General features: G+C 51.2%; 3 annotated features.

The window, feature by feature from the left end:
• Positions 2,301-2,801: an enhancer, noted in NCBI's record as "H3K4me1 hESC enhancer chr7:45173420-45173920 (GRCh37/hg19 assembly coordinates)". NCBI's record gives its function as "activates a minimal SCP1, AML or CMV promoter by ChIP-STARR-seq in primed H9 embryonic stem cells {active_cell/tissue: H9 hESC(primed)}" and the evidence as "EXISTENCE:reporter gene assay evidence [ECO:0000049][PMID:30033119]".
• Positions 11,944-12,769: an enhancer, noted in NCBI's record as "H3K4me1 hESC enhancer chr7:45163452-45164277 (GRCh37/hg19 assembly coordinates)". NCBI's record gives its function as "activates a minimal SCP1, AML or CMV promoter by ChIP-STARR-seq in naive H9 embryonic stem cells {active_cell/tissue: H9 hESC(naive)}" and the evidence as "EXISTENCE:reporter gene assay evidence [ECO:0000049][PMID:30033119]".
• Positions 17,545-17,644: a silencer, noted in NCBI's record as "silent region_18164". NCBI's record gives its function as "represses an Ori minimal core promoter by ATAC-STARR-seq in GM12878 lymphoblastoid cells {active_cell/tissue: GM12878}" and the evidence as "EXISTENCE:reporter gene assay evidence [ECO:0000049][PMID:35858748]".

Below are 23,531 nucleotides of genomic sequence, written 5' to 3'. Positions count from 1 at the left end.
TTCAGTGTTAAGACTTCCAGGCGAAGGCCACCAGGTTGAACAAGTTGGGTTTATTTCTTGCTGCAGTAACAAGGGAGAACACAGGCTTTGGAGAACCATAAGGCGACTTGGGGAGAGGGTGTTATAAAGGCCTCATGAGATTGGGCCTTGATTTTGGGGGAGGGTTTAAGAAAACAGGGTTTTTTTCTGGGTGGGAGGCTGTCAGGCAGCAGGAGTAATTAATTCTGTGATGAAATATCTTCAGCTAAAGTTATAGTTGGTAAAGAAGCAGCAATTGCTCACATGACCCAGGAGAGGGAGCTGTTGGGCCATTTTGTGGTTAGTTGATGTTCTCCTGAGTTACACTTGATTATGGAGCAGGCTTCTTTCTCTGAGGTCGATGTTTTGGGTAATTGTTTGTGTTCAGCAGGAGCACCCTAAGGCATGGCCCCCGGATGTCAGGGCTGCTAGTCTCTTTCTGAGCAGTGGAGACGCTCGGCAAAAATTGGTCAAGATTAGTATCACCAATAGACATTGCCAAAAGAAAACTGGCAGAGCTGCATTAAAAATCAGGTGAAATGTTGTCCTCTTACATCTTACTGGGCTTTGGCGTCTAGACCTCCAGTCCAAGGACAGGGCCAGAAACAAAGCTCATCTTCAGGCTAATTCCCTGGAACTGGAAATGCCTCCAGAGCAAAAGCAGCTTGGAACGTCTAGGCTCACCCCGCTGGGTTCTTGTCTTCTTCCAGATCTTGCTAGCTTTTTGATGCTTTCAGTAAGACTTTTGGGGGCTATTATTGTTCAGCTTCTTGAGTCATCCTCAGAGGGGAAGTTGATCTGGATTGCCTAGCTGCCAAAGGTCTTTCTTCTGATTCCTCAGGAGAAACCAGGGAGAGACTGAATATCAAATAGGACAATAGCCAGGCCATACATATGAGTAGAACTTGTCCCATAGTCTGCAGCAACCAGCCGGGATGCCAGCCTGCTATTCCTATGCAGCCAAATGCATAGGAAGTCAGACCACTCTCTCTAGCAACGATCCTGGAAGGCCAAACAATAACCCCTCTAACAATCGGCCCCAAATGGCCAGAACTTGATTAATAACTGGCAGCTTCCCTAATTTTTGTCCCTGCTTCCAACTTAGGACCAGCCAGAAACAAAACAAATATGCTCTTCTAACCAATCACATAGGCAGCCCCCTTTCTAGTGAGCTGCCCCAGCTTCCCCGGGCTGGCTGCCTCCATCAGGGCTCACCTGAGCCTCCCTTTTCCACTGTGAAGCTTTCCCTCCCTTTCCCTCTGCCTGCCTGTGAGTCTTGGCCAAATGCAGTGATGGCGGCCAGCCCCCTTGCTAGAGCAGCTCTAGATGAAGAGATTTTGCCTGTTCTCATGTGGGTGGTCTTTCTGTATTCCCACACCAGAAAGCTAGCTTTTAATGGTCCTCTAATGTTAGCAAAGAAAATAAAATTGCAAAATGTCATGGGGGTAAGTAGGCTGAAGGACCGCCATGTCTGCAGAGCATGGCGGGAGCCACTGAAATCTTTCTAGTAGGCTAGAGCACCCAGCTCTGCCACCGCTAGAGAAAGGACGGCCAAGGGGGCTTCTCCCAGAAACCTCATCTCAGAACCAGGCCTCAGTAGGGCCTTAGGCCCACTGTGGGTCTCTGACCCTGTACGACATGAGTAGTGTGGGACAGCAGTCTGGGCCACTTTTCTAAGAAGACAGAGCAGGGTGGTGCTCTGACTCCCAGCCTGGCCCTGGGGCTCCAGAGGCCAAGGGTAGTCCCAGGGCCACTCCCCAATCCCAGTGTGATACTGGCAAGTCCCTGACCAAGCTGAGCTTCAAGGCCCCCAGCTGTAAAGAAGGGGGCCCCTTGGCTGGAACAGTGAAAAGCCACTCCATTCAGGGCTCATTACCTCCTCATTCTCTACCCAAGGCATTGACCTGAGCCTCAGAATCTCCCCAGGGTCAGTGTTTCTGCAGAGTAGGGGCATCAGCTGGAAATCAAGAGTTTATGGAGATGTAGAGGCCAGGCCTGCTGCCCTCCCTTCTACAACCCCACCCCTGCTGGACTTTCCCTTCTCAGCCCAGGAGACCCAGGCCCCGGTCCCACATACCTTCCTCCCAGGCCCAGTGCCTACCTTTGTCCAGGCTCCCCTTCTCCTCTCCTCCCACCTCCCTGTCAACTGGCAAAGGGCCTTTCTAAAACGTGTCTGATCCTGCCTTGCCACCCTGACCCCTGGCCTGGCCCCCATGGCTCTCCATGGTCCAGCCCTGCCAGCCTCCCCAGCCCTCTCCCACCTCAGTGTTGGAGAAAATGACTCCCCAAAAAGACCCTGTTTCTCTGCACCTGCCAGGCTGCATGATATCTCAGCCTAGGACCATCCATGCTCCTTGCGTCCTTGTGTAGCGCTGGACTCTTCTGAAAGCTCGGGGGCGACTCCCTGTCAGAAGCCTCGCAGCTGGGGAGGAGCCTCTGTGGGTATGCACCTGGGGTCTGCATTTCATGTGCCTGTGCCCCTGGCCACACACAAGTGTTAGCAAATGGACCACAAGTGAACAAGCTGGACAGAGATGACACCATGAGGCCTTAGCCACCAGGGCTGCGCCCAGCATCCTCTGCAGCCCTGCTCTACCTGCTGTGGTCCAGGGCAGAAACAGAGCCAGTGGGACATCCAACCCACCTGCCAATGACCACAGGCCCATGAGGCCCACGGTTCTGCTAGGTACAAGAGAAGGGGCAGAGGGCCCACTGCAGCCTCACAGCCTTGCAGCCCTGGAGTAGGAGGTGGCAGTAGAGCTTTGAAAGATGGGAGGAGAGAACTTTCTAAGCAGGAGCTAGAGGCAGGAGGTGTAGCAACTGTATGCAGGGACATGACTTGGTGAGACAGGAGATGTAGGAAGGGTGTCAGAGCAGACAGACCATGATGAGGGCAGAGGGCTGAGGGCAGGACCTGCACCCAGGGTCGGGACCCCTATAATGAGAGTGAGACCTTCACCGAAGGGTCATGACCCCAATGACAAGGACAGGACATTCACCCAGGAGTCCTGACTCTGATGACAAGGGCTGAGGACCTGCACCAGGGTTGTGACCCTGATGACAAGCATGAGACCTTCACGTGATCAGAGGCCGTGACCCTGATTGCAAGGGCTGAAGGCAGGTCATGTACCCAGGGCCTGTGGCAGTCACCACAAGACCAGGACACACCTGTGGAATAGCATGGCCTCCTCCATCCCTGTCTTTACTCAGAGTTTTGGAGAAAATCCTGACCCAGCTGACCCCATAGGACCAGGAGTGGGGACAGTGTGCTCCAGATGACCACAACCCGGGGCCTCATTTCCCCATCAATCCTGGGCACACAGGAGCTGCTGGGGAGTGAAAGAGCCTGTGCATCTTAGAAGATGATAGGCTGGAGCCAGGCAAGCCAGGGGCCAACAACCTTCCCCTGGGCGCAAGAAGAACCCTACATTCCTTGCCTCTGGGGCTGGTGAGCCTGGAGGAATGGCATTCCTGGAACCCTCTGGCTTCTCCATTTGGCCCTGAGGGCTCTAAGGGCAGCTGTGCACCTAACCCGAACTCCTTGTCCTGCCAACACCTCTCACTCCTCCCCACTGCCCCCCACCAGCCACACAGAACATGTGTTCCCTCCTGGCCCCCCGGGCCCCAGCTCCCTCTGGTAGTTGGAATAGGTCTCATTATTACCCCATTTTACAAATGAGGAAGGAGTAAGCTGCTCAAGGTCACACAACTAGCACAGCCAAGACTAGATTCACACAGGCATGCACTCAAACGCTTCCTCTAGGCCACTTCATTCAAGGTCATGAAGGGCATGAATGCCACACCCCAGCATTTGGACTTCTCCCCCCAGGTAATGGGAAACCGCCGAAGAGTTTCAGATGGGGTTGTGATAGGATCATGCCCAGGCGTGAAAGGCCATGCTGGACAGAGCATTGACAACTAACTGGAAAGTGGGGAGGCCTGATATAGTCTTCCCTCCCTCCATCCCTGCCTCCTTCCCTCCCTCTCCCACCTCCTCCCTCCCTCCTCCCCTCTCTCCTTCCCTCCCTCCCTCCCTCTCCTCCTTCCTCCCTCCCTTCCTCCTTTTTTCCCTCCCTTCCTTCCCATTAAAGGCTAATGCCCCAGATGCTGCAAATGTGCTGTTCAACAAGATGAGAGAGGTCCTGTGCTCTGGAGGACAGTATACAGGACATCTCATGAACAAATCAGATCGTCTGTAGTCAGACAAGTGTGTTAAGGCGGTTGTTGCAGTGGCCGATGCCACAACAGCCCATCCCAGGGCAGCAGCCCAGAAGAGCTGACAGGAACACACTCAAGAGGGTTTTGGAGGGGCATCCACCAGTGGCCCAACCTCTTGGTAACTGATTAGATGGAGAAACACAAAAGGGAGGCCCTCCAAGTCTCTGGCTGTGAGGAACCATTCCCAGGGAAAGGAGATGTGGGAGGAGGCCAAGTTCTGCATTGGCAACAGTGGGCAGATGTGGGTCCAAGGCCTCTGAAGGCTGAACAGATGGGCGTGCTCCGGACCAGGCAGGGCCCTGGTTGTGCCTGGGAGCTGCTGCCAGGGATGCAGGGGTGGGGGCTAGGGCAGGGGCTCAGGGAGCGTGGGCGGATGCTTCCCACAGGATGAGGGGAGGGGAGAGCAGAGAAAGGGGATAGTGGCAGTGCCATAGACATTCCCTGAGGAGTGAGGACTATAGAGGGACAAGAAACAGGAGGGAGGCTGGGGGAGCTGGGGTGCAGGGGCAGTTTGAAGGAGGACTGCAGAGGCTGGACACCACTGAGAAGGAAAGACCCAGCCAACCTGAGCTCATGGAACTAGCAGTTACTTTACGCGTAGAATAATTTTATCTGTAGGAAAACAGCCCTGGGATTTCCAACTTCATATGAAAGTAGTAGGGGATTGGCCAGGCGTGGTGGCTCATGCCTGTAATCCCAGCACTTTGGGAGGCTGAGGCGAGTGGACCACCTGAGGTCAGGAGTTCAAGACCAGCCTGGCCAACATGGCAAAACCCCGTCTGTACTAAAAAATACAAAAATTAGCCGGGTGTGGTGGTGGGAGCCTGTAATCCCAGCTACTCGGGAGTCTGAGGCAGGGAGAATTGCTTGAACCCAGGAGGCAGAGGTTGCAGTGATCTGAGATTGCACCACTGCACTCCAAACCGGGTGACAGTGAGACTCTGTCTCAAAAAAAAAAGAAAGTAGTTGGGGTTGAAACAACACGATGTTTCAGATTTAAATTCCAACAACAACACAAACAATAGTAACATGAGTCCGACAAAATGTTGACAAGGTTAATCTAGACCATCGGTCTGTGAGTACCTATTGAACTATTATTTTTACTTTGCTGTATGTTTAAAATTATCATAATAAAAAGTAAAAATAAAAGCCTCCACCATCACCCATCGACCTATCTACCCAGTGGGCAGGATGAGCGTGTCTGCTCATGAGGTGTCGGGGACCAGCCCTGCATACCCAGGTGTGCCAGCAGGGACTGGGAATCGGGCCAGATGCTTGGAGGACACTTGGGCGGGGCCTCCCATGTGGGCGAAACATGGACCCTTTGGCCCAGCATCTCCGCCTCTACACTGGTACCCTGCAGAGCTCCCTGCCCACATGCCGAAAGCTGGGGTCTTCTGTGGTAGCAAAGAATCAGAAACAACCTAAATGTCCATCAATAGGAGACTAGCAATTATGTGGACACATCCATACCGAGGGGACTAAGCCGCCACTCAGAAGCAGGCGTGTGTCATTAAAACCCAGCCAAACTGAGCTCACAGAACTAGCTCAGTTTGGCTGAGCTAAATGGATGTTCCCCAAATGGAAAAAAAAAAAAAAAAAGGAGGGGGAGACAGTGTGCACATAAGTCGCATTTCTAAGGAGAACGGACCTGCACATCCATACTTGAACAGGCTTGATCATCTCTGAAGAGAGTAGGAAATCAGCCTCCAAAAATGAGAACGGGGGTCAGGGCCAAGTGGGAACGCCACTGCCCCCTGCCCTGCACCGTGTGTGTTGTCATCCTTGCATGCCTGTGGCTTTTCTTCCAGAAATAGTAGTAATGAAGGGAATAAAGGAGCGCAGAAAGGGGAATGGAACTGGGCCTGACATGACTGGGGGTGCTAGTGGTGTTGGAAGCAGCCTCGAACTGGCCGCCTGGCCCAGGCAGGAGAAAGGTCATCCCCTGAACCCAGATGACAGGCAAGAGAAAGATCATCCCTAAGTCTTCTTAAGTCTAAGAAGACTTAGGGATGAAGAAGACTAAGTCTTCCAGAGGGTGGGCACAGCCTTGCTGACAGCCTCGCCCTCCTCTCTGAAGTCGAAGTAGGCCATTTGCTGCTGGGAGTGGGAGGTGGGGCTCCAGGGCCCTGAGAGCAGACGAAGGTCGTGGAAGAGTCCCTGGGGGAAGCAGGGAGGGGTTGGTGGGTGTGTGATGGGAGTCGTGCCCCGGGGCCCAGGCAGACTCTGAACGCAACAGCTTTGGGGCTCCACAGAGTGAACTCATCGGAAGACGTCCACTGGCCAGGCAGAGGGTGGCTGGGGAGAAAAGGGGAAAGCGGGAGCCTGGAGCCCCGAGAGGTGTGAGGGCAGAGGTGTGGATCAGGAGGGGCTGAGCCGGCTGGAAGGGGGTCAGGCTGTGGCAGGGCCTAGCCTCTGTGGGACTTGAGACGTCAGAGTTAGAGCAGAGCTGGGGAGTAGGGGCCAGGGACAGAGGGTCTTTGGGACCCCTGGGGGCAGCCAAGACAGCGGGTAAATCAGGGGCTCCAGGTGTGTGCCACTTCATGCCAGCAGCCCACACAACCATGTGTCCCTAAGCTTGGTTCAACATTCTGCTCTTATGCCTTGAAATCCTTAATTTCACCTGTCAACATATGTGCTAGTAAGTGAAGTCTGGTGGGACAATGGAACAAACACACATGTGACCCACATGTGCAGCAGGCCTGGCCATCCCATGTGCACAGGTCCCAGAAAGGCACAGACGGAGTGGGGCCCTGGCTTCCCGACAGGCTGGAGCCACAGAAGGATGCGACGGGTCTCTGAGAAACACGAGCAGCCCAGGAGCCCTGCCGGCCCTTTCCTGCCTGCCTTATTCCCGTAGGAGCCAGCCAGTTACTCTGAAAAGGACAGCACAGCAGGAAAGGGGAAGACAGTAGCCAAGTGCCTTCCTTGCTTGTCCGGTAGCCAGAGAAGGAGAGCCTTGGCAGGGCATGTACATGTCAACAGGTGAAATCACCAGTGCTCACAGCGGTACTCCTCACGGGGGCCAAAAGGTGGAGACAGCCCAATGTCCATCAATAGATGAATGGACCAACAGAGTGTGTGCATGCACACCAAGGAATACTATGGTACATAAACAGGGTGAAGCACCGACACGTGCTACAACATGATGAACCTCAGCAGCCACGCTCCGTGAGATAAGTCAGGCACAGCAGGTCACACGTTCTATGATTTCATCTCCATGAAATGTCCAGAATAGGCAAATCCACAGAGACAGAAAGTCAATTGGCAGTTGCCAGAGGCTGGGGACGGAAGGAAATAGAAAGTAACTGATAGTGGGTACTAGGTTTCTTTTTAGGGTGATGGAATGTTCTGGAATTAGAGGTGGAGGTTGTATGACGTTTTGGATGTACTAAAAAACACTCAATTGTACACTTTACAATTGGGGGTGAATCTGACGGCATGTGAATTACATCTCAATAAAAAATTAAAATAGGGCTGGGTGCGGTGGCTCATGCCTGTAATCCCAGCACTTTGGGAGGCCGAGGTAGGCGGATCACTTGAGGTCAGGAGTTCAAGACCAGCCTGGCCAACATGGCGAAGCCCCATCTCTACTAAAAATACAAAAAAATCAGCCGGGCTTGGTGGCAAGCACCTGTAGTCCCACTACTCAGGAGACTGAGGCATGAGAATCGCTTAAACCCAGGAGGCAGAGGTTGCAGTGAGCCGGAGTTGTGCCACAGCACTCCAGCCTGGGTGACAGAGCAAGACTCTGTCTCAAAAAAAAAAAAAAATTAAATTAAATTAAATATTTTTATCTTATTAAAATAAGATAAAAATAAAGAATGCAACTTTTTATCCTTATTAATATACAAGTTCATATAGATATGAATGGCCATAAGAGGCAAAGCAGACCTAGGGTGCTAAGAGTGTCTGGCCACAACATTGGTTACAGCAGGTTTGATGTAATGGAGGGAAAGTTTAATCTGACACATTCAGTCAACCAGTTCCTTGTGTCAGAAGAGTAAAACTGCTTAAGAGGAAGCTGTTTCCTCAGAACAACAGATGGATCCAAAAATATTAAATAAAAAGAAATGAGAAAAAAATAAGTGGAACAAAACCAGTTGAGTTAGTTTTGTGCAGCGTTTGCACTGTTGTATATGTGTGCCCATGTGAGCTACAAGGTAAGAATTGTGTGATTGGGTGATTCTGCCTAAGAGCTCAATGCTCTTGTGTTTGCCTTTGAATTGGCATTGTACAACATAAAAATGACTGCTGATACTCATGTTCATAATAAGAAATTTTTATTTTCATTTACTTAAATTGACACATTGTGAAAAGCATCATGACAAGTACAGAGAGACTGTGGAAGAGAAAAATACTTTTTTATTCTAGTACCTTTACCAGTACTTTTTTTCCATTTGTTGAACAAGGTGCCCTGAAAATGGCATAGCTAGCTCTGGGGGCACCCTGTGGAGATGGGAAATGCTGGTGAAGGAAGTGCCCCTCTGTGCTGTCAAGGAAGAAGGGACTAGGTGTGGGGTGGGGGGCAGGGGGAGGGCGCTCACAGTGTGAGTCTGTGGCCAGGGATCTGAGTTCTTGGGATGGATGGGTCAGCTCTCACCTCAGACCCAGCATCGGCGACAGAAGGACTCAGATCTTCTAGCCAAATCCACTCATGATGTAGGTAGGAACGGACAGAGACAGAGAAAAGGGCCACCAAGGCCTGCCAGTAAACAATCACGGCCTTGCCACCTTCACTTCCCCAAGCCCTGGACTCCACCAGGTCTCTGGTGTGTGTGTAGCTCCCTTCCCGGGAAGGTGGAACAGCCTACGTGAAGCATTGGGTAAACTTCAAGCCATGGAGAGGCACAAGAGGTGGCAAGTCACCATGGCCAGAGTGTCCATGCTGGCTACCCCAGGAAGGGCCTGGGTTGAGGCCCACTGCTTTGCAGAGGGACTATAAGGGCCGTGATGGAGCCATGTCATGCCATGGGCACGTACAGGAGGCACATTACAGCTCCGCCAAAGTAGCAGGACATTCTGGGCTGGAACATCCCGATGTTCAGTAGCAGAGGGTCCCAGGGGAAGTTTTAAGGGACTCTGTGTCCAAAGCCCAGAGGCCATAGGCCTGCAATGAGGGTCCCCAGCTGGACAGGAGTGCAGCCTGGACCTGGGACTAAGCACCAGCTGTCAGCCAGCACATGGTCACCACGGGGTCTTCAAGGCAGATGTCCAGGTTCCACAATCCCCAGGGCCCCTTCCCTGTCCAAGCCCTCCAGGCAAGAGGATCAAGAAAATGCCCCAGAGCAGAGGAGGCATAGCGCACTGGCAGCACCCGCCCCTGCTCCGTGGCACCCGCTCACTTGGCACAGAAGGGTCCCTTCTGGGAAGAGGCCTTCCTGGTGTTTGCCCTGCACAGACAGCCCCTAACATAGAGCCTGACTCGTTCCTCATCCAGTGCCTGGCATTCTCCACAAGGAGCTTGCAGCTCATAAGCAGAAGGCATCTCCTTCTTGTCAAAAGCCCAAAAACTACAAAAAAAAAAAGAAGCAAAACACCGTCTGAGAGAGCCCCTGCGCCTGCTATCTCTCTCCTATTTTGTTTCCTAGGTAACGTACAACTTTGGGACACATCATTTCTTTTGTCCCCGGGGGCCCCTATGCAACCATTTTAAAATAACTGCTATAGCAGTGTTTGGGATAGGTCCTATTTCTTCCTTCCCCTGTCCTTAATTTTATCAATTCTCATAATAAACACGCATTACTTTCAAAATGGGGAAAAACTGGTCAACCTAACTAAGGACTTTTTTTTTTGAAACATGACCCTGATTATAGCAGCCGCCCCAGACCTCTCAGCCATTTCCCCAGCACTGGGCCTGGCCTCTGGAGGCATTCAAGGAGGAAGTGCCTCAGTCCAGTTGGGGCCATGCCAGCCTGCCCCCTGCCCCCCGCCCCGAGGCCCTCCTCCCACCCAGGTCCTTTAAATGTAACCCATGTCCTCAGGCCACCACCTGCCGCCTGCCTGCCACCCGCCACCATACACTGTCTCTTCAGCCTGGCCCTGGCCCTGCTTGCCCTGAAAGTGACCCTTGCTGTGGCCCCAGCATTCATTTCGCCAGGTAACCTCTCTAGGGGACACTCCCAGGAGAGTCCTCCTGCCTGATCTCTGCTTCTGGTGGAACCCAAGGCACCACAGGTCCTGGTGGTTTGGCGACAGGAATGGGGAAGAGAGAAACAGAGGAGACTCACTCCTGGGGGTGGGTGGTGGGGAGTCCAGGGATGGCAGAAAAGCAGGGCTGTATTTCCACGTGGAGGCAGCTGTCCCACTGGGCCTGAGAAGCGTCTGGGCCTGAGAGCGAGCAGTGCAGCTGGGAGATGGGGAAGTGGCAGCGGAGAATGGGGGCTATCCTCAGGCCCTAGCCAGTCTGGTCAGGGTCTTAACGTCCCACCACCTGCAGTGGGCCTGTGGTCTTGCTTCCTAATTTTCTCAGCTGACTTCCCATGCTTTTGTCAAGGCTGTCACATTCCTGGTAGATTTTTTTGGCCTTCTAAGAAACAGCATGTTAAGCTGTTAACGGCTGCGTTCCTCATTGCCCCTACCTTGCTTTCCCTTGAGGAGCCTGGGGATGGGGCCTGGACCCCCACTCACCTGCCCATCCTGTGTGCAGAGCAGGCCGTGTGCCCCGAGGCCAGCTCCTCCGAGGAGGTGCCCTGCGTCAAAACCTGCCTCACCTACAATGACTGTCTTGGCAACAGCAAGTGCTGCCCCAGCTCCTGCAGCCGCTCCTGCAAAACCCCACCATTGGTAATACTCCACCTGGCCCTGTGCCCCATGGTGACAGCCTGGCTCCCATCTGTTGGGGGAGGGAGGAACCAGCTTTCTCAAGTATCTTCCTGAGCTGGACACTTGGGACCACCCTCTTAGTGCCCACACAACTGCCCCACACACTCGGCCCTACATGTGAGCCCCCTTCATTTGCCGGAACCTGCCTGAGGCTGACCCACCCTCATCCACCTCTGTCCTGTGGTCCAGCCTCCAAGGATGGTGTGGAGGTTCCTGCCATGAGATCAGCAGAAAGGAGGCCCCGGGGACACATCTGACCCCAGAGCAGAACAGAGGCTCAACTTCCCCATTTATTTTTTATTTTATTTATTTTTATTTTTTTTTTATGTTTTTGAGACTGAGTCTCGCTGTGCTGCCCAGGCTGGAGTGCAGTGGAGCGATCTCGGCTCACTGCAACCTCTACCATCCAGGTTCAAGCAATGCTTGTGCCTCAGCCTCCCAAGTATCTGCCACACCCAGCTAATTTTTGTAGTTTTTTTTTTTTAGTAGAGACAGGGTTTCACCATGTTGGCCAGGCCGGTCTCGAACTGCTGACCTTGTGATCCTCCTTCCTTGGCTTCCCAAAGTGCTGGGATTACAGGCATGAGCCACAGCGCCCAGCCCAACTTCCTCATTTATAAAATGGGTATTTTTGGCATGGGGAGCCCTGGGAGGTGGGCCCAGCAAGGCTGGGAAGCATAAAAGGGCTTTGGGTGATGAAGGGCTGGCCCATCTCTCCCCTAGTATCAGCCCCAAAGATTGGCAGCTGCCCCTGGGTGCAGCCTGCAGTGAGCCCAGAGCTCTGCGAGGAGCAGAGTGAGTGCTCCATGGACGGCGGGTGTTAGGGAGAAAAGAAGTGCCGCTTCAGCCGCTGTGCCATGAAGTGTCTGGCCCCTGTCCTAGGTATGAGTTCCCTTTCTCCCTGAGCTTCCCCTGGCCAGCTTGGGCCTTCAGTGGGGCCTTGAAAGTGGGTGCAGTCCATGAGCAGGCCCTGGGGGCAGATAGGGCTCGGCACACCAACCCAGACTATGCCAGCTGCAGGCCCCCAGGCACTCAAGGAAGCCACTCAGGCTGGGAGTGAGTGTCAGTGAGTGAAAGTGGCCCAGGGAGGCAAATGACTGGCAGGCCCAGTGCTGCTCGACCTGTGTGCAAAGCCTGTGCCTCTCCCACTTCACTGCAGAGAGCAGCTTACCTCCCAAATATTGGGAGAGCTCTAGGTCAGGGGTTCCAAACATGGGTTCTGGGCTAACCGTCCAAGCCCACCTATGACCTGGACTCCCTTTCTGGCATATGAGGGTGGCCTCATCCACCTGTCTGCAGGCGAGGTGAGGGCTGGGGGAAAGCCAGTGGGGTGCAGGGCTCTGCTTGCTCCCCTGCACAACAGCAAAGGGGCCAGCAGCGCAGGTCCCCGGGCCTGTGGGCGTGAACACATTAGCACATGAACAATGGACAGCGGATGACCTCCCTCCTCCCCACCACCCCCCTGGCCGGGCTCTGTACTGCATCTGAGTTCCCCGTGCCCCCCTGCAGAGAACACCTCTCAGTGAGAGACCTTCCCCTGGGAGCCCCTGCTGCCAGGAGTGACCCACCCAAGTCTGCTCGACAGAAACCATCTCTCTTGGATCCAGAGAGTGCATGATGCCTTCTACGGCTGCTAATTTAAAAATCCACTCAGCTTCATGTGTTTGTCTTTCTGTGTATCTGTCCCGGGCTCCTGAGGGAGGAACGAAGCAAACGCAGGCCTCATCCCTGGGTGCTCCAGGCAGACAAGGCAGCTGGCCGGGAACAGGGAAACCCCGTGGCGATAAGCATGTCCAGGTGGGTGGGGGAGTCCAGCCAGGTGCACTCAACAGGCGGCTGACCTCTGGTGAGAATACACAGCCATGGTGGCATCTCTGGGCCAGGAAAGGCCTCTCCACTAGGTTCTGGAGACACTGGCCAGATCTCCCGGGGCTGACCCCCTTCAGAGGTGTTGCTAGCCCTGCTCATGGGGACAAGATCAGGAGCTGAGCCTGTGGGGGTCTGGTAGCTCAGAGGTTGCCTAGGCCTGGGCCAGTTTCGGTGGCATGGCAAGGGCAAAGGTGTGGTTACAGGAAGTGCAAAGGAAGTGAGAGGAAGGGGTGGGGTGAGTGTGGATGCTGCTCTAGGTCAGGGGTGTTTAGAATATTATGTCCCTGGAAGACAGTCACCACCCCACAGAGACACTGAGCTCTGTGTCCACACACGGCTGCCTCACACAACAGGACATGCAGCTCTGCTGGTCATTTCAGGGTCCACAGTGTTGGCCATCAGGCACCCAAGAAGATGGCTGTGTGGGAACTCACACCTGGCCAGATCCCTGCGGCCCCAGGGAACTGCACTTGACTTGTGCAGTGACACAGGCCTGTTGAGCGGCTGGGAGGATCGCTAATGGCCAGTGCCTGTCGGCACCAAGCTCCAGCCCCTCTGTCGCACACAGGATGCACACTTACTCTCACACAGAGGAAACAGTTCTGTCTCCATTCGTATAGCAGTTTCATCGTCCTAACCTGTACCTGTGTCTGCTCTTTGGTTTGAGCCTGATCCCTCTAGAGTTAAATTAAATCTCTTGTCCCTTGTTCACTTTGTATCTATTGTATAGAAGAGTCATGATTTTTCCCTTTTTTGAAAATTATCTTTTAGCAACAAAAAAGCTGAACACGGTATACAAGGCAACTTGAAAGAAGGGGTTTTTATTCTCCTCAACTCTAGGCTGCTTTTTCACATGTTTGAAAAAATTTGTCTAAAACGCCTCTAGTGGGATTTTCTTTCTCCAAACACTTTCTACACCCTGGCTGTGCTCCTGGCTTGGGGGTCGAGAGGAATCCAGTTAGCTCACCAGGGGCCAAGGGTCTCAGCAGAAAGAAGAAAATCAAATGATTGAGCTTAAGCAGCAAGAAGAAAGGAGCTGTACTCAAAAAAATCACCAGCCTCCCCGTGTTCTGTGGCTGCACTTGAGGAGTGGCTCGAATTGGATCAAGTCCAGATGAGAGCCTCGAAAACACGAAGCCACAGCCTTGGGAGAGTCCATGATAAAGCAGAGACATTTTGAATGGGGGTCCTCTCTGTGTGTGCTCCGGCAGGACATAGGAGGCAGGCTGGGCCCTGGTCAAGCCAGAGGGAGGGGTCCACTACCTCACCTGCCTAGGTTTCTGCAGGAGCCCAGGGGCCCCAGGCCCAGGCCTGACCTGAGGTCAGCCCCATTTGGCTCACTGACCCAGCACATAAGGTCAAGGAGACGACCCATACCATCAGGCTGGCTGAGATGAAGGTGGGACCTGGAGATATTGCTCAGCTTCCTCCATCCCTGCCTCCTCAGAGCTTGCAAGGGAGAACAACAGGGCCGGCCCAAGCAAGCCACACTCACAGCAAGCCTAGATTCTCCGGGAGCCCACACTCATGAGGAGCCCACATCCATGAGAGCCACGCTCACTGGTTATGTGACCTGGTAAGGTCACTTCCCTACGGCTTCAGTGCCCACAGAGACCTCCATCATCATGCTCTGTCAGTGAATGGAGGAGGAAGGCAGGACTGACCTTTAACCCATAAGTGCCAGGCCTTCCTAGGTGTTGCACACAGAGGGACCAGGCTGTCCTGGCCAAGCTGCTGCCCTTGAGGTGCACAGGGGCCTCCCAGAAGAAAGAGCCTGCTCACTGCTGATGTGTACAGGAAGAGAGGAAGGCCCCCAAAAAGAGTTCCCCAGAGCCATGTGCAGAAGGACAAGAAGGGTCCCCCTAAAACAGAGCACCCAGAGCTGTCTTGAAGGCAGGGCCCAACCAGTGAAGTGGGGAGTCTGGGGCACCAGGGGCCATCTCAGAAGACACTGGTGTCAGGGACCAGGGACCAGGAGTGCAAGGACTGTTTGAGATGCTAGGTCTTTGCATCATCTTCAGCTTTGCTGTCTCCATCATTGCCTCTCTGTGTTCACTCAATAACTCAATACATCTTTGAGTTCACATGACATGTCAGGGGCTTGGGAAATGGGATGAACCATCCCACACATGAAGGGGTTCAACTAGTGCCTGGATTTTGTTCATGAACAATCCTCCACTGAAAGGCAGCAGGATTCCTTGGAGAAATAGATGGGCAAAGAAGGCACAAGGGGAGTGCTGGCGTCCGCCTGACCAATGATGATCTGCTGGAGGGACACATGAGCCTGCCACACATGAGCGCCGTGAGGGTACTGACGAGGACAGAGTACAGCACGCTGAATTTCTAAAAACCCCAGAGTTGAGAGTGATACTAAGACATGGAAGAAATGTGGTGCAGGAAGGCTTACATGTGAAAAAAATTAAAAATAGGCCAGGCACGGTGGCTCACACCTGTAATCCTAGCACTTTTGGGGGCTGAGGCAGCCCTCGAGCTCAGGAGTTTGAGACCAGTCTTGGCAACATGGCAAAACCCATCTCTATCAAAAATACAAAAATTAGCCAGGTGTGGTGGTGCATGCCTGTGGACCCAGCTACCTGGGGGGGCTGATGTGGGAGGATAGCTTGAGCCCAGGAGGTCAAGGCTGCAGTGAGCTGTGTTTGCACCACTGCACTCAGCCTGGGCTACCAAACAAGACCCTGTCTCAAAAACAAACAAACAAATAACAACAACAACAATCATAGAGATTAAGGAGACAAAGGTCAATTGGGGACATTCGGATATGGACCTGAATCAGATGGCCTTATTGCATCAATGTTAATTTCCCTAGTAGGATAATTACAGTGGGGTCACATGGACAATGTTTGCTGCTAAAGTGCTTAAGGGAGAAGTTTGTGATGTCTACAGCTCACTTTCTTTCTTTCTTTCTTTTTTTTTTTTTTGAGATGGAGTCTCCCTCTGTCACCCAGGCTGCAGCGCAGTGGCACGATCTTGGCTCACTGCAACCTCCGCCTCTTGGGTTCAAGCAATTCTCCTGCCTCAGCCTCCTGAGTAGCTGGGACTACAGGCATGCACCACCATGCCCAGCTAATTTTTTTTGTTTGTAATTTTAGTAGAGGCAGGGTTTCACCGTGTTAGCCAGGATGGTCTCGATCTTCTGACCTCGTGATCCTCCTGCCTCGGCCTCCCAAAGTGCTGGAATTACAGGCGTGAACCGCTGTGTCCGGCCAGCCTACAGCTCACTTTCAAAGGATTCAGCAAGCAAACAAACCAAGAAAACTTTTGAATTGTATATATACAGCACATACACACACGCATATGCATGCCTATATTCATATGCTTATAAACATACACAAATATAAACACTTACATTGCATGGTCTGAATGTTCATCCTTCCTCTTCCAAAATTCATATGTTGAAATCTTCACCACTAAGGTGAGGTGAAGGTATAACATTCGGAGGTGGGGCCTTTGGGGGATAATTAGATCATGAGAGTGGAGCCCTCACGAGTGGAAAGGGACCACAGAGAGCTCTCTCTCTGCTCTTGGCCATGTGAGAATACAACAAGAAGATGGTCACATGCACACCAGGAAGACAGCCCAGACAGCCTCTACCAGACACCACATCTACTGCCACCTTGATCTTGGACTTCCAGCCTCTAGGAATGTGAGAAATAAATTTCTGTCATTTAAGCCATGCAGTCTATAATATTCTGTCATAGCAGCCTGAGCAGACTGTGATATACATACACACACACACATACATACATGTACACACAAGACATACATATACCCACACATGTATATACATGTATGCACAACACACACATATACATGCATGCACACATACACACAAATACATACACACATATGTACAGTGAGAACAAGCGGGGGTGAGGCAGGGGTAGGGATAAAGAAGGAAGACGGAAGTATGGCCAAATTCTTGCTGAATCTAGATGACAGATTTATGGATAGTCACCGTACCATGCTCTTAGCTTTTCAAAAAATTTGCACATTCTCTAAATAAAAAGAGGGGAACCAGAAAGGGCCTGTGGGCTGGCCCTCCAGGCCAGGGAGTGTTTGGGGACCAGGATTGGTGGGAGAGGGGCAGGCCCTGAATTTGGTAAAGCACAAGGTGGGAGTGTAGCACAGAAGAGAACCTCTCATCAGAGGAATGACTTGGGTGGGCTGAGGGGGCGCCACAAGGAGGCCAGATCTATGTGAAAGGAGGACCAGCAGGTAACATGGTCACCTTGTGGCACCTGGCCCAGCAGCCTGAGACACAGGTATGGGAAAGGTGGGTCAACAGGTCCCGTGGAGGCCCTGTCAATGATGCACTGTGTTGGTGGGAAGCCAGCAGCCTGCTCTCCCAGGCCAGGACCCCTGCATACTGCTGCACCAGGCCTGCCCCTCCCCATCTCAAGGAGAAGCTACCAGGAGGTCCTGCAGGCTGGAGGCCAGCGGACATACCCTTTCCCCATCCCCGTCTGTCCCTGCCCACCAAGGCCCAGCACTCAGCCTCCCATGCTGGTCAGGTGCTGGGGAGAGGCAGGGCTGAAATGGAGCCGTACCACCTCCATGCACTGCTGCTCATGCTGGGACCCTGAGGCCAGCCTGGGCAGCTGGAACCACCCAACCTTGTCTAGCCTGCAGCTCAGAGTTAGGCTGCAGGAGACACATCCATCCCCTGATGCTGGAGGCTCCTCCCCTACAGAGAAGTTTCACCCTGCCCTGGCCCCTGTATTGACTATGTTTCCAGCTTCTGCAAACAATGCTTTAACATCTGCCTTGTATGTATATGCTGGACAGACTTGGTTCTGCACCCTGATGATGGGCCTGAATCACCTTGCCTTGGCCTTCTGCCTCCCTCATCAGCTCCTCACCTCTCAGGAAGAGTCCTCCTCCTGGGCAGGGTACACTTTTCAAACACAAACCAACCAATCCAATGCTCACACCCTCAAACACCTCCTCTATGGGGCTCTCACACTCTGGCCACTATGGACTTGCTCTAATCACTCCAGGGCCAGGTATCAGACAATGAGGGACAGCCCTTCTGCTCCAGGCCCTGAAGTTACTCAAACCACCCAATCCTAAACTGTCGCCCTGCCTTACCTGTTCTTTCCCACAGAAACCACAGTAAAGGCTCTTGCCCACCACTCCCTGCCCCATTCCTCTGCCTCAGGGCCAACCCCAGTGTTTTCCCATGTGGCCCCTGTGGTGTGGCATGTGCCCTTCTCTCCAGAACTGAGAGTAATAAACTAGCTTCTCAATGGCAATCATCTCCTGATCCATCAGTCTTCATGAACCTCAAATTTTTTATTAATACATGATATTTTAAAATAGTCCCAGCCGGGCACAGTGGTTCACGCCTGTAATCCCAACACTTTGGGAGGCCGCCAAGGCGGGTGGATCACCTGAGGTCAGGAGTTCAAGACCAGCCTGGCCAACATGGCGAAACCTTGTCTCCACTAAAAATACAAAAAATGAGCCGGACATGGTGGCACACACCTGTAATACCAGCTACTTGGGAGGCTGAGGCAGGAGAATCGCTTGAACCTGGGAGGCGGAGGTTGCAGTGGGCCAAGATCGCACCACTGCATTCCAGCCTGGACAACAGAGTGAGACTGTCTCAAAAAAAAAAAAAAAAAACCCTTTCATATTTTTCCATATAAAACACTGCTTTAAGTTTTAATGTTTTTTCCCCCAAGACAGCCCAGCCTGTACCCTACTTGGGTAGATTTTACAAGCTGGTAAAACAGCCCCCTTTAGAGGCTGAGCATCCATGCCAGAGAGATCCATGGGGCCACTCCACCATCTCCCACTGCATTCTCATGGCAGCTGCCACCGGAGCTCCCAGGACTCTGATAAGGTGGACCACCTTGGCCCCTTCCCAGCTCCATCACCCGTACCCCCAGAGGCCTTCTCACCTGCACATCTGTTAGCACAGGTACTCAATGTCAGTGGCCTCCAGAGCAGGAGCCCAGGTTGACTGAAAGCCAGGAACGGCTATGAGCTGGGCCCTACTGGTGCAGGACAGGGCTGGGTCCACTGGGCTGTGGCTGTCACGACCCACTCTGCACACTGTACCACACCTCTCACCACACTGCATGAGGAGGGTGCTGTGGCCTTCTTGGTGGATGAGAAGGAAGGATGGATGAGATGTTCTGTGGATTTCTGGAAGGGTTGGCAGAGGTCAGGACTGTTGGCCCTGCTGAGGGTTTCCTGCTGGGGGTGCAAAAGACCCACCACTCTGAGTCCAGCTGGGACAGAGCCCCGGGCAGGCACAGAAGCAGGGGGAGGCCTGGGGCTGGTGGCAGAAGACCTGGACACTCACTCTCCATGTGTCCTTAGGCAAGTCCTGCCCTCCCTGGGCCTCAGTTTGCCACATAGATAGCAGGGTAGAACAGGCTGTGTATGGCCAGAGCAGGGAGCCAGGCTGACCTTAGACTAGCCTTTGGGTCTGATTCCTCCTCTTATGCAGGAATCTGAAGAGACATCGATTCCATCAGGCCCTGAAGAAGGGCCCTTCTCTGAGAAAGTCCCTCAACAGGTTTGTCAGGGGTCCCCAAGACCACCCCAAGGTTCTGTGACTCTCCAGAGGAACTCACAGGACTCAGTACACAGTCATACCCTTGGCTAAGACTTAAAGAAAAGGATACAGAGCAAAATCTGCAAAGGGGAAAGGTACATGAGGTGAAGTTGGAAGAAACCAGGCATGAGCTTCCAAGAGTTCTCTTCCAGCAGAAACAAGAGGGAGTCACTACTGGATTCCCTCAACAATTAGTTGTGATGACACGTGTACAATGCTGTCTACCAGGGAAGCTCATAGAGACTTGGTGCTCAGGGTTTTTATCAGGAGCTGGTGTCTGCCTAGCATACACCAAAATTCCAAACTCCCAGAAGAAAGGCAGGTGCTTAGCATGAGCCATGTTGTTGTACAAACAGTTTAGGTGCAGGGAAGACCCCTGCCCTTTATAGGAAGTTATTATCAGTATAAGAAACTGTTTGCCAGCCAAGTTTCCAGATGCCAGTCAGAAGGCAGCCTCAGGTGCTGTATCAGCTTCTGCACTCCAGAGCTCATATCAACTGTGGTTTGATTCCAACTGGAGGGAAGGTGAATAGACAGGAGCAGACAGAAACAGGGTGGTCAAGCATCCCAGTTTGCCTGGGACTTGAGGCGAGGAAGGGTAGGGGAGCTTCCCAAGACATGAGACTTTCTATGCTAAAACCAGCATGGCAAGTGGAGAAGTTTCAACATGTGTTTTGGAGGGGTCAAGTATTCAAACCACAACAGACGCTAACTACTTAGAGTTAGCACAGACCTCACAGGTTAAGGGCTCAGTCCCACAACACTGCCCTCACTTCAGGTGCCAGTCACAAGTAGTGGGTCCCAGACTATCCACACTTCTGTTTGACTTGGCTACAAAGCAAGGTTTCCCATGACCTGCTCTTCAGGTTTAGTAATTTGCTATAAGAGCTCACAGAAGTCAGAGAAACATTTTATCTACTGCCTTATTCCATCTGGGCTGCTGGAACAAAATACCATAGACTGAGTAATTTATAAACCCTAGAAATGTATTGCTCACAGTTCTGGAGATTGGGAAGTCCAAGATCAAGACACCAGCAGCTTCAGTGTCTGGTAAGGGCTCTCTCCCTCATAGAAGGTAACTTCTTACTGTGTCCTCACATGGCAGAAGGAGAAAGGGACAAACATGCTCCCTCGGGCCTCTTTTATAAGGGCACTAATTCCATTCACGAGGGCTCCATCCTCTTGACCTAATTACCTCCCAAAGGCCCCACCTCTTAATATCAACACTTTGCAGATTAGACTTGAACATACACATTTCGGAGGGACACAATCAGATCATAACATCTATGTTTACTAGTTTATTACAAAGCATATTTTAAAGGATACAGATGAACATCTAGATTAAAAGGGTCTTAGGGGCCAGGCACGGTGGCTCACACCTGTAATCCCAGCACTTTGGGAGGCCGAGGCGGGCGGATCACGAGATGAGGAGATCAAGACCATCCTGGCTACCACGGTGAAACCCTGTCTCTACTAAAAATACAAAAAATTAGCCGGGCATGGTGGCGTGTGCCTATAGTCCCAGCTACTCGGGAGGCTGAGGCAGGAGAACGGCATGAACCCAGGAAGCGGAGCTTGCAGTGAGCCGAGATAGCGCCACTGCACTCCAGCCTGGGCGACAGAGCGAATCTCCATCTCAAAAAAAAAAAAAAAAAAAGTCTTAGGGCCAGGTTCCAAAGGAAACTGTTCCTCTAATCACAACACTTCTGGAAGAATCTCAAGCATCAGAGCTTCTGTTCCCATGGGGTTTGGGAGGTGACACCTTCCCAGCATGTGGATGCATTCACCAACTTGGAAGCTCTCTGAACCCCATTGTTTAATAAGTTTTTATGAAGTTTCATTACCTAGGTATAATTGATAAAATCATTGGCCATTAGTAATGACAGTCAAAAGAAATGTTTTTATATGAGGAATATGAGCTTCCTCTAAATTATCAGGCCCAAAAAAAGGCATGAGAAAGAGACAGCAGTCACATCTCACTTCCTCCCTCTTGCTGAATAATCATCTTTTGAAGCTGCTTGCTATGTGGACTCTAGACTGACTGCCCCCCAAGTAGCTATAAATTAACCTAACAATACTGCATGCTGCACAACATAACTCATACCCTATCATTCAACAATGTATAGCCATCACTAATCAATGTTATTTCTGTAAACCAATGAGAATTCCTGACAAACAACTTTTTATCTGCCCCATGCCTAGTCCCCTTTTTTACCTTTAAAAACCTGCTTGTAACAAAGGCTTAATGAAGCTCATATCCCAGGTTACTTGCATGTGAGTCTTCTGGGCAGCTGTCTTCATTTTGGTTCAAATGTAAACTCTCCACTTTTATTAATTTTGCCTCCGTTTCTTCTTTTAGATAAACTGTAATCAAATCAATCTCCAGCCTCTCTCCTCTCTCTGGAGGTTGAGAGGTGGGGCTAAAAGTTTCAGCCCTCTAATCACATGGTTGGTTTCTCTGATAACCAGCTCCCATCTTCCAAAAGCCACTTCATTAGTGGCATAAACTCAGGTATGGTTAAAAGGGGCTTATGATGAATAACAAAAGATGTCACTATCATTCAAGAAGTTACAAGTGTTTTACAAATGCCCATCAATGATAGCCTGGATAAAGAAAATGTGGTACATATACACCATGGACTACTATGCAACCATAAAAAGGAATGAGATCATGTCCTTTGCAGGGACACAGATGGCGCTGAAAGCCATTATCCTTGGCAAACTAACACAGGAACAGAAAACCAAACACTGCATGTTCTCACTTATAGGTGGGAGCTGAACAATGAGAACACATGGACACAGGGAGGGGTACAACACACACTGGGGTCTGTCCATGGGACAGGGGGAAGGGAGAGCACCAGGATAAGTAGCCAATGCATGCAGGGCTTAATACCTAGGTGATGAGTTGATAGGTGCAGCAAACCACCACGGCACACGTTTACCTATATAACAAACCTGCACGTCCTGCACATGTATCCTGGAACTTTAAATTAAATTAAAATACACATACACAAATGAAAAACATCAGGATAGCAATTAGCTGGGGTGGAGGGATAAGAAAGAAGAGGAAACTCTCAGAAAATTGCAACAATATTGGTAATATTCTATTTCTTAAGTGGAGTAATGGGTTCACGGGTTTCTTTTCATAATTCTGCTTTGTAACTTGAGCATATTTAAATTTATATATACACTATATATATTATGTATATGTAGCAAACATTTTATAAATACAAATGATATTATCTTTATAAAATGCCTTAATGAAAACCTAAAGAAAAAAGTTACAAGGGTTTTAGAAGCTCTATGCAGAGACCACATATATATTTCTTAAGTCACAGGTGGCTTTTAGTATACTCAGTGTTGTGCAACCATCCCTATTATCCAATTCCAGGACACTTTTACCATCTCAAAAAGAAACCTCAAACCCATCAGAAGTCACTCCCTATTCTCCCCACCTCAACATCACATAGGTGACTCTATCAATTCACCTACTCTGGACATTGCAAATATAAATGGAACTATACAATATGTGGCCTCATGTGTCTAACTTCTTTCCCTTAGCATGTTTTCAAGGTTCTTTCCTCAACAAAACTCCATTAGTTTGTCTAAAGCTTTTCTTTTAACAGATCTATAAATCTGTTGTAATATTGTCTTTTGACAGACAACTTGTGAAGGATTTGGAGTAGAATTTGTGATAAATACATGGAATCTTAATTAACTGTTAACAGAAAAATCAAACTCTGTAAATTACTTAAAGAGGTTTATTCAGGGCCAATGAGTGACCACAGCCCCAGGAAAATACAAACCCAAAAAGCCTTAAGTGTTCCCGAGGCAGTCAGATTATAGTTTGGTTTTATACATTTCAGGGAGCCAGGGGTTACAGGCAAAGACATAAATCAATGTGTGGAAGGTATACACTGGTTTGGCTCCAAAAGACAGGATGTCTTGATGTGGGGGGTTTACAAGTTATATGTGGACTCAAATACATAGATATATACACGATATATGATTGATT

The sequence above is a fragment of the Homo sapiens genome, chromosome 7 (assembly GCF_000001405.40).
Source record: "Homo sapiens chromosome 7, GRCh38.p14 Primary Assembly".
Classification (NCBI taxonomy): Eukaryota; Metazoa; Chordata; class Mammalia; order Primates; family Hominidae; genus Homo; species Homo sapiens.
This window is presented reverse-complemented; position numbering and strand designations above follow the sequence as displayed.